The 18,288-nt window shown below is 35.0% G+C and overlaps 1 protein-coding gene across 3 annotated transcripts in view; it reads right to left on the minus strand.

The window, feature by feature from the left end:
• Positions 1–6,706: 6,706 nt before the first annotated feature.
• The window catches only part of ARL5A (ARF like GTPase 5A), a 29,625-nt gene continuing 18,043 nt past the window's right edge, over positions 6,707–18,288 (minus strand). For all 3 annotated transcript variants that reach the window (NM_177985.3, NM_001037174.2, NM_012097.4), the window contains exons 5-6: positions 14,731–14,882; positions 6,707–11,234 (exon numbers count right to left, since the gene is read on the minus strand). In NM_177985.3, coding sequence (NP_817114.2) covers positions 11,186–11,234; positions 14,731–14,882 — 201 coding nt within the window. In that variant the 3' untranslated portion in view covers positions 6,707–11,185. The remainder of the gene's footprint in view (positions 11,235–14,730; positions 14,883–18,288) is intronic.

Genomic DNA, 18,288 nt, shown 5'->3' on the forward strand with positions numbered 1-18,288 from the left:
GCTCTCACCTTAGCCTCCTGAGCAGCTGGGACTATAAGGTACCTGTCACCATGTCTGGCTAGATTTAAAAAACATTTTGTAGAGACAGGGTTTCGCCATGTTGCCCAGGCTGATCTTGAGTTCCTGGGCTCAAGCAGTCCTCCGGCCTCAGCTTCCCAAGGTACTTTCCTATCTTTTTTCTATGTTTTTTGTTCTCGCATAATTCAGATGATAGATGTAAAAGTTTATATTATAAAAAAATTGTTTATCCTGTTTAACATGTCACAACCATTAATAATTTCCTCATATTATTTAAATCTGTTAAAATATTTAATGGTAGCATGTTTTATCATATAACTCAACTGTTTTTAATATGATGGACATAAATGGATGGACACTGGGTGACTTTTCTGAATGAACACAGGACTTCCTACACAGGACTGGCATTTAGGGCTGACAGCATAGATGGACACATTGGTGGGAGAGCATCCTAGAAGCAGAAGACTGGCCGTCTATGGTAGATAATAAAAGTTGTTCATTATTCTTCCCCAACATTAAAAAAAGGTCAGCTGAGAGATTGTATACATCTTTTACCTTCTACCCTTCCCAAAAGGAGTCAATGATTAGCATAGGCTGAATACATTATAAGCCGGTTAACAAGTAAACTGCACAATAAAGGCTAAAGATCACAGAAACCTTGTGGGCGGAGGGAAGCTTTGCACTGCCCACTGCTGGAAGGACTGGTGAACATGTAGCATGACCTGAAGATGCCCAGAGTGGTGGTGGCCTGTGACAGTAGTCAACAGGTTTACAAATCTTAATATAAAGTGTCTTAATATAGAGATGGCCGTGTATATGCTGAAGAATTGACCAGGATGTGGGGAATCTTTTCGGAAGACAATTAGGCAACAGGCTACCAAAGCCTTTTAAAAGGCCATATGCTTTGACACAGCGATTGGACTTGTGAGAATTCATTCTATGAAAAATAAATCCAAATGTTAACTACAGTAAAATTACTGCAATGGTAAGAAATAAGGAACAACAATGTACATCAACATTAGACTGGTTAAATAAATTATGTCATGTCCAAACAGCAAACACAATATATCCATTAAAATGTTTTATATGTAAATGATGTTTACAGTATATCATGGAAAAATAAAGAAGTTTTTGGAATTCTGTATTCAAAACAAACTAAGAAATGTATACTCATTTGTTGCATAAGGATGGGGATTTGTTCTAAGAAATGCATTACAAGTGATTTCATCACTGGGTGATCATAGAGTCTATGTATGCAAACCTGGATGGTATAGCTACATGGTATAGCCTATTGTTCCTAGGCTACAAACCTGTACAGCCCGTTACTGTACTGAACACTGTAGGCAATTCTAACACAACGGTTATGTATTTGTGTATCTAAACATAACGTAGGTACAACATATGTTACTTGGGTGATGGATACACTAAAAGCTCTGACTTCACCACTATGCAACCTATAGATGTAACAAAATTGTACTTGTACCCCATAAATTTATACAAAATTTCTTTAAAAGATAAAAAAAATGGTACACCTGTATAAGGCACTTAATGTGACTGCAGTTTGCAGGACTGGAAGTTGCTCTGGGTGAGTCAGTGGTGAGTGAAAGTAAAGGCCTAGGACGTTACTGTACAGTACTGTAGACTTTATGAACACCCTACACTTAGGCTAAATTTATTTTAAAAACAAACCGTGCTACAATATTACAACAGTTACAACATCACTAAGTGATAGGAATTTTTAAGCTCCATTACAATCTTACAGGACCACCACCGTGTATGTCATCCACTGCTAACTGAAACCCTGCTATATGTCCCAAAGTGTTGGTAACGGTTATCTCAATTTGACTTATGTCTCTTTTCTGATTTTCACTCAAAAGAGTCATGTATATCTTATGTAATTTTTTAAAAATTTTATTTATTTATTTTTTTGAGATGGAGTCTCGCTCTGTTGCTCAGGCTGGAGTGCAATGGCACAATCTTGGCTCACTGCAACCTCCACCTCCTGGACTCAAGCGGTTCTCCTGCTTCGGCCTCCTGAGCAGCTGGGATTACAGGCACGTGCCACCGTGCCCAGCTAATTTTTGTATTTTTAGTAGAGACGAGGTTTCACCACGTTGCCCAGGCTGGTCTTGAACTCCTGACCTCAGGTGATCCACCCGCCTTGGCCTCCCAAAGTGCTGGGATTACAGGTATGAGTCACTGCACAAGGCTGATTTTTTTTTTTTTTTTTTTTTTTTGAGACAGAGTCTCACTCTATCATCCAGGCTGGAGTGCAGTGGTGTGATCTTGGCTCACTGCAACCTCTGCCTCCCAGGCTCAAGCGATTCTTATGCCTCAGCCTCCCAAGTAGCTAGAATTACAGGCGTGCACCACCATACCCAGCTAATTTTTTGTATTTTTAGTAGAGAGGGGGTTTCACCATATTGGACAGGCTGGTCTCAAACTCTTGACCTCAAGTGATCCGCCCACCTCAGCCTCTGAAAGTGCTAGGATTACAGGTGTGAGTCACCAAGCCTGGCTGTAATTTTTTAGGCCAGGTGCAGTGACTCACAACCGTAATCCCAGCACTTTGGGAGGCTGAGATGAACAGATCACTTTAGACCAGGAGTTCGAGACCAGCCTGGCCAAGATGGCAAAACTCTGTCTCTACCAAAAATACAAAAAAATTAGCCAGGCATGGTGATGCATGCCTGTAATCCCAGCTACTCGGGAGGCTGACGCAGGAGAATTGCTTGAACTTGGGAGGCGGAGGTTGCAGTGAACCAAGATCACACCATTGCACGCCAGCCTGGGTGACAGAGTGAAACTCTGTCTCAAAAAACACACCACTTTATATGCTGAAAAGATAATTATAAAAATTTAAGCAGTATACTAGGATGTGTTTTGCACACACATCTGCAAAAACATGACAAAAGATAATATATTCACTATTTAAACAGAGCTCCAGTGGTGAAATTGGTTAGCACATGATACTTATATTTACTGTTTTAAGAATTTAATTTATTCACAAGAACACCAAGATTATAATAAATGAATAAAGCAAAAGAACAATTCAGAGGGTATTAAAACAGCAAAGAAAAATAGTCTCAATAACTAAATAGGTGCAAAATATAACAATATGCTTATCTCTCTATTAAATCGGAAAGGGTTTTGTTGTTTAACATATAGTGAAAATTTGAAATAGGCACCCTCAAATCCCATCCTACCATTTAATCCAGTAGTTTCACCTGAGATTACAGCCAGAAGAAATAATTTTAAATATGAAAAAACACACTAAGTAGATGGCCATTGCAATGTTATTTGTAATAATATAGGAAATACAGTAGAATATAATTTGGGGATCTAAATATATTGGAATTGTTTCAAAAAGATTTTTTCAGTAAACATCTATTTTGGTATAGAATAACTGGCTAGAATGCAAAGTATGTAATGATGAAAATAATGGGTCACCTAGGCATCCCAACTCATGGAATCCCAAAAGGGTGGTAATCAATCATAAGGAACACATTCAAAAGGACTGTTAGAGGTTATTCTAATGTTGTGAAAATCTCATCAATTTCATGGGACAAAAGTTATTTACTAGCAAAAAGGGGATATTCCAGATATTAAAAAATGAAGAACAAGCATAAAAGATGAATAAAATGACACAGCTGTTTTTCCAAAAAAGCTGGTATACCATTTACTATTTCAGTATCTGCAGATGCTGACAACAAACTCTGGTATGTTACTTACATTCCTTGATGTAGGCCCACACAGATTTCAAATACATAAAATTTGTATATATCTGCCACTGCATGATGCTTTTAGACCATTTTTAAGGAAATAAGTGCTATTTCTACTGAAAGAATGAATGAGAAAAACATACAGTCACCTAAAAACTCTTTTGAAGTTAGGCAGAATTAAATGAGAATTGAGGTAAGTGTTACGTAAGAATTAAACGAGGCAGTATGCTGCAATCACATAGGTCAAAAAAAAAAACCTACCTATGAGAACAAAAGAGGTAGAAAAAAACAACAAAAACGTTAGTAGTCCATTCATTCATTCGTCAACACATATAAATTGAACACCTGTTACATACCAGGCACTGTGTTCAGCACAGAGAGATATAATTGCCATCCTGGGGCTTACATTCTAGCGGAGGGGACAAACACAACATTCAAGTCAGCATGTCACTGGGGCTGACTCCTCTCTCCCTGCTTTTTTCCCTTTTTTCTTCTGTTTACTATCAACTATGCTCATGAATGTTCGCTTTAATAATATTCATTTTAAATGACTGAACTTTTCTCAGATTTTAAAAGAAATCAACTATGCAAACTGATCATTATTTGTCAGGCTCATTTCCAATTCTAACATTCAGAAATACAAGATAGAGAGCACTCTATAAATTGACCAAGTGCCAGAAAAGTTTCCTAGAGAAGATCAAGACAATCTTTCTGTCATTTGTACAATGCAGCTGTCATACCTTTTCAATTACCATGTGGATCCCAGTCTTTCCAACACTGAATCTGTATGTTTAGAGAATAAACCAGAATAAAAACACTGACAACACAGAGGTGTGAATAGTAATTATAATTAACCCTTTCTAAAAGAAAAGGTATATGTAATAGTACATAATAGAGTAACAATTGTAACTCAAGTCTTTTTTTTTCCTTTTTACTCAAAGCATAAACCAGACACAATACGTTATACCAGATTAACATGCAACTTAAAAAGAGGTTAATGTACATACTAAGCATGGAAATTCACCAGTAAAATCTCATTTGTCATTTTACCCCCACTACCTTGACATTATTCTTCCATTTCATAATCAACAAGGTTCTACTTCTGGTCACCTGATAAATGCCTTGCATTCCTGGAGCTTGACATTTCAGTCAATTATGGACACAAGAACAATGTTACAAGCATAAAGAAAAAATGCATCTACGAAACAGCTGACTGCACTGCTTTCAATGGAAAGGTCCCCACTCCAACCTGCCCACTCCCTCCCTTTTCTCAGCACAAACATAAATATCCCCCAGTCATTCATGAAGCTGTGTTGTCAAAAAGGTCCTGAAGCATTATTTCCCTAAACACCTAACACATCAGCACTGACCAAATAAAAACCACCCAAGCACTCTAAAATTCTCACTTTTTCAAACATTCCTTGTGTGTAAAATTTTCTAAGCATACAGAGAAACACAAGTTCACAAAATGATAAAAAGATAAGACAAAATTTCTGCCTCTTCTTGAATGCAAATCTTGAGTCAAAACCTTTTATTGTTTTGGAAATTCAAATACAAGAAACCTAAGGTTTTCTTATTTGCTTGTCAATATGCATAGAGCCCAATTGGCAGGGATGGAGAGGGGACGGGGGAAGGTGTTATACAAACAGACTAGGTGGAACCCATTTTTACCTAGGCTTCTCTAGGACAATATGATAAACAAGAAAGATTAGTATCTACTAGAAGAATTTGTCATATTTAAAATCAATATGATTAGTAAAATGTATTTTAAGTACAAATTAAAATGATTAGTATACATTTCTCTCATCTCTAGCAAACAAGAGAGCCCTCATTAGACATAGCTGCCTCCTCAATGCTGTATCTTGGACATTAGCCTAAAAAAATATCTTTAAAAGTGCTTTGCAGGTATCACCTCATCTCATGGAACCATAGAGGGATCTAAGAAAAGGCTACTCCAATCTAAAGGACTATTTTCAAGCAAAAATAGAGGAATTCTGTGTATCATCAATGAAAGAAGTTTAGGGGAAGGGTATAGTACATATTACAATAATTTAAAATCATACGCACATTTCACTTTCCATGCACGATGATTTTAACATGAAACAATGTAACTATACATCACTGAAAATACAATCAAGCTTTGCCCCAGAACTTACAGCCACTCTCTATAGTCAGTTAAGAAAAACCCTGGAAGAATATATGATAAATGTATTCAGATTCTATTAGTTTTATTTGTAAGCAGATTCTAAACAAAGAGGATGAATTTGGGCACATATACACATGCACAAATGAAATGGTTCAACATCTAAATGATATGACACAAAATTACCACTATGAGAATCAAGAGGCTACTCTTATGCAAGCAACAAACTTTTACTTATGATTTCAAACATACAGTTTAATTTTCTGTTAAAACTGTTTTAAAAAACAGTACTAGGGTTCAGTTTTCTAGTCTCGGCATGAACTAATGCCAGGGACCTATTTGAATTAGGAAAGAGACAAAATGGTGTGATTCGTGCTTCATTACATCATGGTTTGTTGAGGGTTAGGTGAATATCTTCCATTTCAAGACTTTTTATTTAGGCCAGGCGCGGTGGCTCACACCTGTAATCCCACCACTTTAGGAGGTTGAGGCGGGCAGATTACGAGGTCAGGAGATTGAGACCATCCTGGCTAACACGGTGAAACCCCATCTCTACTAAAAATACAAAACATTAGCCGGGCGTAGTGGCAGGCGCCTGCAGTCCCAGCTACTTGTGAGGCTGAGGCAGGACAACCGGCGTGAACCCAGGAGGCAGAGGTTGCAGTGAGCCGAGATCGCGCCACTGCACTCCAGCCTGGACGACAAAGTGAGACTCTGTCTAAAAAAAAAAAAAAAAAAAAAAAAAAGACTTTGTATTCAAATAAAGCACAAATTGTGACAGAAATCCTCTAGGCTGTGTCATCAGTTAAGACAAGCCATACGATACCATAGAAAATACATATAATTTATTAGATGGGCTTAAAATCAACACAAATCCATTTTTAGGCACTTCTTGAGTACAGACTATGGGAATTTTCTACCAAAGAACAGGATATCTAGCAAGCAACAGCATAAAGATTTAAACTTTAGTTTTCAGAACAATACACAAGGGCTAGACATTGATAAGAAATACTGCATAACTAATCCAAGTGTATCCTGGAACATTTCTTCACAATCTGACAGGACTTTAGGGTTAACTAGAAAGTTACTTTTTAGCATCCAAAATTGTAATTTCTGGCTTTCTTTCCTTTTTACTCTATTATCATGGTCTTAAAATAATCTATCGCACATTCTTTGAGGGAGCATGATATACAAGTTTTATTTTTGTGTAAGTGGAGCTTCAAAGACATATTTCTCTATCTGCATTTACAGTCAATGCATGACAAGTGATTATTTCGATGTCTTTAAAGCCCATTTCAACAGGTTTATTTTTTAAGGATAGGCTTTTCATTACTAACTCCTTTAGACATCTAATGTTTATCTCTGTTTTGTAAGTAAACATGAAAAAAAAAATGGGATGTGGGCAATAGTTTCAAGAATGCCCTTAGATTATAGACTACATATAAATTTGGTTTGGCATCTTTTTCCAAATCAAACTGAACTGGTATTCTGTGAAACATAACCATTCTTGGTAGTGGGAAGATAATACACATAAAACTTAATCCTGCCCATGCCTAACTAGTAGCTCACGGAAGTGGTAGAGTCTGGGTATTTCTCCTATCTTTCTGAATCTACTTCCCAACATGTGAAGTTAAATTAAGAAGCATGAAAATGTTAAATATAATTTAAAGAATTCTAATATTGGCATCTATATGCTATACACACTGCAAGCTGGTCTTCTGATGGACTCCACATCTCTGATAATGCTCTCTAATGAGCAAAGTCCAAATCACTACCTCAAGCCAGTGGTGAGAAGATAGCAAGGAACTAGAAAAGCTACATAGAAACCACTGGTTTGGAAACCATTGTCTATAACAATAGTTACAAAGAAAGTTTAGAATAACCTCCAGGACAGAGATCTCTTCACTAATAGTAAATGAAGATACAGGAGAGCAAAGGATACCTGAGCTATGGGGAAGCTGACCTTGAAAGCAATGAGGTCCAGATTACATTTGGAGAGTGGGAGAGGTCAAAGTTACGAGGAGAAACTTGTCTCTACCCAGCCTTGAAAAAGTGATTGATGACAACATACAACTGGGCAGTTGAGAGAAGACTGGAGTTTGGAGATAACCGATGATGTGGTATTATCTCCTGTATACAAAGCAGAGCCTATTACACGTACATTCCCAAAAATGCCTCCAGAGAAAACTAGAAAGTTGTCTATAGATTTTCTATTTACACTAATATAAACAGGTTTGGAGGTTGTCTGTACTGTATGTGGTTGCTGTAGTGACAAGAAATGTAAAGTGCCTATACAAGAGGGAACAATAGAGTCCTATTTCTAGGCATCTTAATACTATATGCTGAGACAAAAAGGAAAACAATGTCAGGGACTTCATGCCTTTGCTCAAGCTCTGTGCATTTCTCTGGGTCTCAAATGACCTACTAGGCACTTTTTAAAGGCCAGAAAATAAAAACTCTTCTTCCCTCTATTTCATCCCATGCTTCTAAAGTCACTTTCACTGCCTATATTAAAAATGCCAGCCATCAGTGCTAAAGCACTTTTATATTCTTAAGGCAAAATGTCACATAAGAAAATGAATCCCCTATCCACTTCCCCACTATAACCCCTATACAACCTGCCTTCGTTGTATCCTTTGCCCATTATGAGGACCAAGAGGTACTGGGAAGATAAAGAGAACTGAAAATTTCAAACAAGAACCCTCTATATAATGTGTAAGATGTACTTTTACAGATGCTATTATGATAAAATTAAACATATTCAAATGCTTATAGCATATGGTTACTTTTGCCCAGATATCAAAAGAAGTTACATGACTTTCAAAATTAGTATCAAAAACAGGATATTTAAATCCAGCCACATGTACAGAACTATGAATCTTTGTTCTTCTCAGAGCTGAACACAATGACTCCACGAGATGTTTTCACTCAGAAGTGGCATATTAAAAACCCAAAAGCATCTCCCTCTGCTTAATTCCACTTAAACTACATAAAAATTGCCAATATGACTTTTCACCAGCTTCTCCATTTTATTTGAAAATAATACTTTTAAAATGATTTTGACATTTTCATATATAAATTTATTTTTTTCCCAACTATAATTTTGGTTTTATGTACAAGTACACAAGTACCACCTTATTTTTAATGTTTACCTTGAAGGGTAGAAAACAAAATCATGTTTTATAAATGTGGTATAAAATTACACATCTTCTCATGATGTCATGTCAATAATCCACTACACTAAACCAACTGTAACAAGGTAGTACATGCTTTAAACATCCAATTAAGAATAAATCTGAGCCAACACCTTGATGATGACAAGGGAATGTGCTGATATCGTGTTAAACTGATGTGGCAGTAATCCAAGGGACTAAGCACATGATTATTCAAATTAAAACATAAAAAGGACAAAAGGTGTGGATTTTCTGGGCTACATCACATAATATTTGTCTGGCGAAACCATAATACAGATTTGGGTAAAGGAGATTTTTAATAGATAACAAGTAATTCTTTATAGGGATTTGAGAAAGTACGAGAACATATGGGAAAAGCTTAGTAATTTAAGATTTACTTTTGTAAAACCATGTGGACAAATATTAAATGTTATGCTTGCATTTTGAACATTATAAATATAAAACATAAAACATCCAATGTTAAATACTGATATCCCATGCCTGACCTGGATTTAGATATTGAGTATTTCCCATTTTAAAGAAAGAAACTTTCAAAGTTTTGTCAATACTTAAACTATATACTATTATTCCTCACCAAAATCTTCATGAAATTTAAAAGGCTGATATTGAAGGTAGTTTTTTTTTCTCAAATATGCTAAAACATGTGAGTTTGGATTAACCTTCAGATTTTCAAGGCATGAAAGATACATAAATAGAGTACCCAAGAATATGTTTTAACACATTTAGGATAAGTTTGTTTACAGTTGTGACAGGAATACCTTTGACTTTCAGACACTGAAAAAATATACCCTAAGCAAACATAAAAGGTGTTTTGGGTCAAGTTACTTCTTAGTACAAATAATACGTTGTATCAATCAATTTTTAAGCCAAATTCTTAAAATCATTCAAAAAACACTTGCATTTTATAATTGTCAATGCATTTATGTAATAGAAGATACAACAAAATTTAGAAATAAAAAATCTCACACTATATTCCAAGTACCAAAATAAGAAGAAATTTGCAAATTAAGAAATTATCAATGTTGCTCAGAAACATGCCTTACTTTTACTCTGAAATTCACTTTAACTGCTTGACATATAATTTAATACTTAAAAATAATATAGCTAAGTTGTTTAATAGTATTTATAGAATGCTACTTTTCTGGGTAGACATGTTTCACAAAACAGTTTTCAATTAATGCTGAGCATTCATTTGATAATTGTAATCATAATTTGATTCACTGATTAATGGATTAATAATTTATTCAGTAATTTAGATGCCATAAGAACCACTGAAAGGAATAATCTGATAGTTGCTCATTGTACAATCCTGCCTATTAGTAATACTAAGCCAAGAATCTGCTAGCTTTCCCACTCTGTTGAATTACATGTTTCCATGTGTGTGATTTTGGTCAACAACAAAAAATCGATACACAATGTCATGCTTTTTCCTTTTCCTTTTTTTTTTTTTTAAACAAGCAGCTCAGCGATTTGGGAGGTTGGTTAGTACAATACAGAGAACACAGAGAGAAAGTATAAAATGGCACTGAACACTAATGCCAATACTTATCTCATTGTGGTTATAACGAAGGATATTATTATTTGTGTTATTTTTGTCTGGAACATAAATCAATGCCATTAACTTGAACTTGAGGTATATACACAATACACACACAACCTTAAGCAAAATACTTTTCATAAGTAACATTACATTTTAAAATATTGGAAACATTCGAATATCTGTGCTGATTTGTATTCTGACTTAATGGAACAAGAAGAAAATAACATTCAACTAGGGAGGGTTAAACTGATAATAAAGCTCTTAAAATTCAAAATGTCTTCCTCTCCCTTTGTACTTACCATAGGCTACACAATGTCCTGAGAGGATTCATTATGAGAAAAATGTCAATCACAGCTTCAATAACTTACTTTGGAAAAAACTAATGAGAAAGCAAACTGGAAGGTGAGACTTCATCTTTGTTTTCAAATAAGTGGTCTTAATTTTTCTTCTTATAGAAAAAGTTTAAATCAGTTTATTATAAATATATCTAAACCATTAATTTTTGCAGCTTTCAGGTAAAGTCCAGCACTTCATTTATACAAAATCTATGAGAAGAGGTCAGTAGAGATCATCTAATCTTAAGTCGTGACATCATCCATTCAAGTCCTTGGCACAATCTATAAAGAAAACAAAATCATTTGATTAAATTCTGAACTAAGAAGCTATGAGCAGCAAACTATGAACAGCAAACTAAAAGAGAGCATTTTTCATTTAGCTAAATAACAAAGATTTAAAAATCAATAATATTCAGTGCTTGGGCTGCTGCAGTGAAGCCATATTCTCATACACAATACATCTGTGCTTTTTTTGTCTTTCCTCTTTTTTAGACAGGGTCTCACTCTGTCACCCAGGCTGGAGTGCAATGGCACAATCAATGGCAGCCGTGACCTCCTGGGCTCAAGCGATCTCCCCACCTCAGCTTCCCCAGCAGCAGGGACTACAGGCGTGTGCCACCACACCCAGCTAATACATCTGTGCTCTTTTGGTTCAGTTATATCTCTAGCACCCAGAACGCTGTCTGACACTTTAAAAAAGCTTTATAATTATGCAATGAGTGCCCACAGAAAGCAACATATGTCAAAAATATATCTGGCAATACGTATCAAAAATATTTAAAATATCAATACTCTGCATCCTTTTTTCTACTTCTAGAAATGTATCCCAAAAAAGAAAATCAGACATAAACATAGACTTACATACAAAACTGTTCATTAAAGTACTTTTAATAGGAAAATAATTTTTGTCTAAAAATACAGAAAAAAATAAATTACAAGACATTTGTATGATGAAATATTTAAAATTTTCCTTTAAAAAATGATTTCATAATTCTCATCACCAGGAAATGGAGGAAATAAAACCATTTTATAATAGGATAAAATGCTCATGATATAAATGAAAAATGGCAGGATATTCAACAAAATATATATTGTAGTTATTAAAACAAAGTATACACATGTTACATAAATATTATAAAATGTAAGTATGTAAAACTTTTGAAGGCAATAAAATTTCTTATCAGTAACATCAGTTATCACTGAACAACTGGTAATTGAACATAACCCAAAATATAGAAAACGATGTTCACTGTGGGAAAAGAAACTAAAAGTTGAGCAAGAGAGAAATGGTTGTACACATTAAGTTGCAATAAAATGAAGAACTGTTATAAGTATTAACTATTATCTATGACAAGCTTTTGCAGACATAAAAAACTATGTTACAATATTAAATTTTTTTCAATTCAGAGTTTTGTTAAGTATGAGTCTAATAACGTAAAAGAAGACACAAATAGAAAAAAGATGGCAATGAGGTAAATAAATGGTTGTTTTGGGGTGGTTGTCCCATACTTTTCTCCTGTGACTAGATTCATTACTTTTAAACTACTGATAGGAAACAGTACACAAAAATAATAGATGAAGAGATTGTTTAACTCCAAACTGATAAATGAACAGTAGTTACCTAATAGCAAACTAGAAACTAACTTAATATCCATTCTCTTAATTAATCTTTACAACACTGAGATCAGAATCCTTCCAATGTTACAGAGGAAACCCAGGGTTGGCAATGTTAGCAAATGGGAAAAGTAGGAGTCAAATGAAGCCACACACTGAAGTTTGTGATCTCCAATCCACTGAATCAAAACGCTAATCAATACTAAAACCAATAATTTAGATCAAGGTAGCTGAACTATAAAAGAAAAACAGAACATTTCTCTCAAAACCAAACTCATCTATTATTTTCCTATTTTTAAAACAAAATTGCTTTACCTCTTTTTAAAATGAAATTGAGTTAATATCTATACTAATGATACATTTTCCATACAATTATCAAAGTATATAAATTAAATCTTATGTCAATCCTAGATGACGTGTCTTTATTGACAAATATTATAAATCCATGCTTTTGCTTGACAAAGATATATATATTAGACTATTTGACAAAGAAATACTTAACATATTTTTACTTAAATGAATACATGGATAATTGGTATTATCTGTGATTTTTTTAATGAACAGTTTTTTTTTAATTAAAAAACCTTTTTTAAGGTTCTAATTATGCTCTTCCAAATGTCAGTAACAGTGCCTTCTATTAAGATTTGCCTTCAATAATTCGTTATATTTGGTTCACCCTTCATCGTGGTCTTGAAAGGAAAACAATTTCTCCCACTTCAGCTAATTCATCTATACCCCATGCTTTTGTCCTTTCCTAACACCTCAAGAACCTCAACCCCAAACTTAAGACTTCTATTTAGAATTCACCGCTTATTTCTCTTTTCCTCTGCTTTTAAATGCAATCATGCATCATTTAATGACAGGGATACATTCTGAGAAATGTGTCAGGTGATTTCATCATTGTGTGAACATCAGAGTGTACTTACACAAACCTAGATGGTATAGCCTAGTATGCACCTAGGCTCTGTGCCATACAACCTGTTGCTCCCAGGCTACACACCTATACAGCATGTTACTGTACTAAATTCTGTAGGTAACCATAACCCAATAGTAAGAACTTTTGTACTGAAACATATCTAAAAATAGAACAGTTATTGTAAACATATAGTATTTTAATTTTATAGGACCACTGTCATATATGTGGTCTATCACTGACCAAAACATCATTATAGGGTGCATGACTATATATACAGATGCACCATATTTTGGAAAAACAGCAACAAAAATTGTACTTTAGTTTGGTCCTCCTTTTAGCTTTTTATCCTATTTCCAACCTCCTCTATTTTATCTTTCCTTCCTCTTCTTGCCACACTCTAGAGTTTACAAAGCTATTTTTGCTTCCTAAAATCTACCTCCTCTTTAAACTACACTTACCTCATGCCCACTTTCTCAATGCACAGAATTTGTTCTGACAAACTGGTTGAATGTACTCATTTGTTGTTAATTGAATGGCATCCTCTCCATCTTCCTGGTCCTTGACCTTAGATTTGACAATGCTGACCACACCACTTCCTTCTTGAAATACTTTCATCTCTGGGTGCTAGACAGGGCAAACTTCTACTATAGGCACACACTTCTCTTCCAACATCTATCATTCCAGAACCAAGGACCATCATTGCTACACTCTCTCCAATTCCCCCAATCCTTCTTTTGTTTAAGTGCATCAGTTCCAACAGTAAATAAACCCAAAGTAGTCTCAGACATGAATTCTCTTTGATTTGAGCTTCTTTATGCAGAAAATATCACTTAAAAACAATTACTCTGTAGGACTGTTATGGGGATTAAATGAAGCACTATATGGAAAACACTCCAGACATAGGACATGCTCGGCACATGTCAGGTCTTCAGTTCCACTATCATCGTAAAATGTATTTCCTAACTTCTCCAGCTCTCACTGATACTCCCATTTCTCTGAGCTCCTATAGCAATTATAACAGCTACATGCTTCCATGTTCAGTAGGTTTATGTGTATTATGTTTATATTGTTTTACTATTTACAGAACCACCCTAAAAAGTCTCTGATTATAGACATGAACTACAGCTTACGTCTGTCCCTTACGATGTTTTATACACAATAGCCTTAAATATTTAGGAGTTTAAAGAAGATATACATGTTACTAAGCAAAATAAATGTTCGATAACATTTAAGAGGAAGATGTCTTACCCCTCGCCAGTTAGAGCACAGCATGCCTGGATATGCCACTGGTGATCTTTAATAGAAGTTAGCTTCAAAAACTGGGAGATTTCTGCTACAGTCATGCATTCTTTAACATCTTGTTTATTAGCAAAAATCAGCAATCCAGCTTTTCTTAGGTCCTATTAAAGCAAATAAAACTGTAAAGGCCAATACATTTTCCACATATTTTTCAACTTCATTAACAGAATCTTTTTCACAATCTTAGTAAACAAGAATTTCTCAACTATGTGACATAAAAGCATCTCAGTGCCTAGGCTGATAACACATTTTTTATACTTGTATGTGTTTACATATTTCTTATAGTCTCAGACAACAATTTTTTATGGTCCTAAGTGCTGTATTTAACAGTCATGTTTCCCAGTATATACACCACCCACCCCCTAAATCCAAAATTAGGCTTAAATGGCTAAGAACTACCTTTTAGCCTAATACTTGAGAGCTCTCCAAAATTTTATCTTGCCTATACTTTTCTGCTTTACCTCACATCACTCCTATATAAGTACTCTGCTGTAATTAGCAACCTATCCTACTGCTCTCTAAACAGTTTTGGGCACTGCCATCTCTATGTTGTTCAAATCATTTCTCTTGCATGTATTTCCTTCCCTCCAACCTCCTAAACCAGCCTTTCCCAATCAGGATTCCACAAGAGAATTAAGCTCCAAAGAAAACGATGAGTGACTACATTGCAAATCTCCCAATAATGTACACAGCTAGTACCTTCTAGCTGCATAGGAAATAAATGAATTCATTACAATGTATGCCTTAAAACCTTAGGGCTTAATTCTCAGTTGAAGTTCTATCCTAAACCAATCCTATTCACCCTAATTTCTGTCATTGTATATGAAGATTTCTTAGATTTGAATATGTAATACAGCCATCTTGGAGTGGCATTAAACTTATCAAGTTTCCCCAATTAGAAGTTCTATCACTTCAATGCTATGACTCAGAGGCAAGTTCTTTAAGCTTTCTGAATTTGTTCCTCATATCTTTTACTGAGTATCTGATCTGAGCAAGACACCTACTGCATTAACCCTTTTCCGAATGTAATTGTGCACACTCCAAATAACTGGTATAATGTTTTACTCACTAAACAGGCCAAAAGTTCTTAGTCTCTTCCTGCCCCACTCCTCTCTACCTGCCAGTTTTAAAGCCAGGGACTTCCTTGATAATCTGTTCAAAATCACAGATCTTTCCCCCCAAAACACACATATGCATATACACAAAATTTTTTTAAGTTTATGTACAATTTGAGGGTGTTAATAAATAGCCTAAATTCCCTACATGGATACTGGGCCAAGAATCCATGAAGGATGTACTCAATTAGCAAGTGAAACCCTCATAAAATTCTGCCTGTTACATATTAAGAGATATAAAATTAAGGTTTTGGTGCCACACTTGCAAGTTTTCACAACTGTTGAATGGCATTTGTCTTCTTAGGGATTTTACTGAGATATTTTGGTTTCAATAATGTATGTGTTTGAATAAATAAAATCTTCAGCAGATACAAAATGACTTTTGTTAGAATACAGTTTTGATGATTCTTTCTGATGCAAATAAAAACATTAGTAGTATATTTGTATTTCTTATTTGGTTAAAGGAGTTATGTAAAATATTTATATAACAATCAAGACTGACTTTAATTACAGTGCCCTCTGCAGGATGGCAGCTATTAATGCTACCACAGTTTATATAGTTATCTCATTAAGTATGGTCAGAAAGGAATACTGCTACAATGTTTGCAATTTTAAGATTTCATGTTCAACTAGTTTCACCTATATTTCAGTTCACCTGCCTATATCAAAGGCAAAAAACTTGAAGAGATAAAGTATAACTTGTATACATATAGTCATTATCAAGGATATACAGTAAATATTTTTTCTTTTCTCCTAAACAGAAAATGAAACCATTCATCAGCCAGGTGTGGTGGCTCACACCTGTAATCCCAGCACTTTGGAAGGCCGAGGTGGGTGGATCTCTTGAAGCCAGGAGTTTGAAACCAGCCTGGCCAACAGGGCGAAACCCCGTTTCAACTGAAAATATAAAAATCAGCAAGGTGTAGTGGTGCACACCTGTACTCTCAGCTACTTGGGAGGCTGAGGGATGAGAATAGCTTGAACCCAAGAGGTGGAGGTTGCAGCGAGCAAAGATAGCGCCACTGCACTCCAGCCTGGGCAACAGAGTGAAACTCTGTCTCAAAAAAACACAAAGAAACCATTATCAATAGTTGTTATGTGGCTGAGTCAATAAGTAGATGGACTTTCCATGGGATTTAATTCCTAACTTCCTATCTTCTCAGTTTCAGTACATCTTGCTAGTGTGTGCTGAAGTCTTATATAGGTCAAGTTTGCTAATGTTGACATGTTGAAGGAACAACCTTCTGACAAATACTTGGCACAAGTTAGGACACACGGTTTATATTATTATAAGTAATCTGTATTCACTCTTAATGATGAAATTATTTGTAGAAGCCCCTGAACTGAAAATTGAAAAACACAAAAAACAAAGCCATTTAATAAAAGGTCTCCAAATATCTTAAATCAGTTTTTCTAGATCTAAAAGGTTCAAACTTTAATTTAGAGTTCTTGACTTCTAAGAAGTTATTTTATCAATTTTTACATATTTAGAAAGAGAAGAAAATCTTCATTTGCTTTTTATTATATAACCTCAAAACCAAATATGTATATATTAGAACAGTAGAAAATAGATATATTAAATTAAGGCTGTTCATCAACGTGACTTAACAAGAGGTCAAAGTATAAGGTGAACAACGGTGATCTTTTGTACATAAACCATTTCAAACACTTTAAAACCACTTCTGCTACAAATTTCTAGTCTAAGATATATTTTAGTTTTATCAAGGAGATGAATAACAGCAATTGCAAGACACATTTACTTAGCATCTTCTATATACCATATATAGTTGTCAATTTGTTTCTTAAAACTTCATTTGGGGACTGGGCGCTCACGCCTGTAATCCCAGCACTTTGGGAGGCTGAGGCGGGCAGATCACCTGAGGTCAGGAGTTCGAGACCAGCCTGGCCAACATGGTAAAACCCCGTCTCTACTAAAAATATAAAAAAATTAGCTGGCGTGGTGGTGGGCGCCTGTAATCTCAGCTACTCTGGAGGCTGAGGCAGGAGAATTGCTTGAACCCAGAAGATGGAGGTTGCAGTGAGCCGATACGGTGCCACTGCACTCCAGCCTGGGCAACAGAGTAAGACTCTGTATCAAAACAACAACAACAAAAAAAAAAACTTCATTTGTGAAGGTAACTCCTAGAAGTTGAGTCATTCTGAATAAAATTTCAGACTTTGGTGTTTGGAACCATTTTAAAATTAATGAGTTCTAAAGTTGTATACTTCATTTATGATAAAACTTTGAAAATTATTTTAAAATTTTTACAGTTTTGTATTTTGTAATAATGTAAAGAGTCATTATCAGTGATGACAATAAGATTTTGTTGATTTATGTAGTATGTAAGAAACATCCAACTAACATCATGTCTACATTTATTTTTCACTCACA

This window comes from Homo sapiens, chromosome 2, assembly GCF_000001405.40.
Source record: "Homo sapiens chromosome 2, GRCh38.p14 Primary Assembly".
Lineage (NCBI taxonomy): Eukaryota > Metazoa > Chordata > Mammalia > Primates > Hominidae > Homo > Homo sapiens.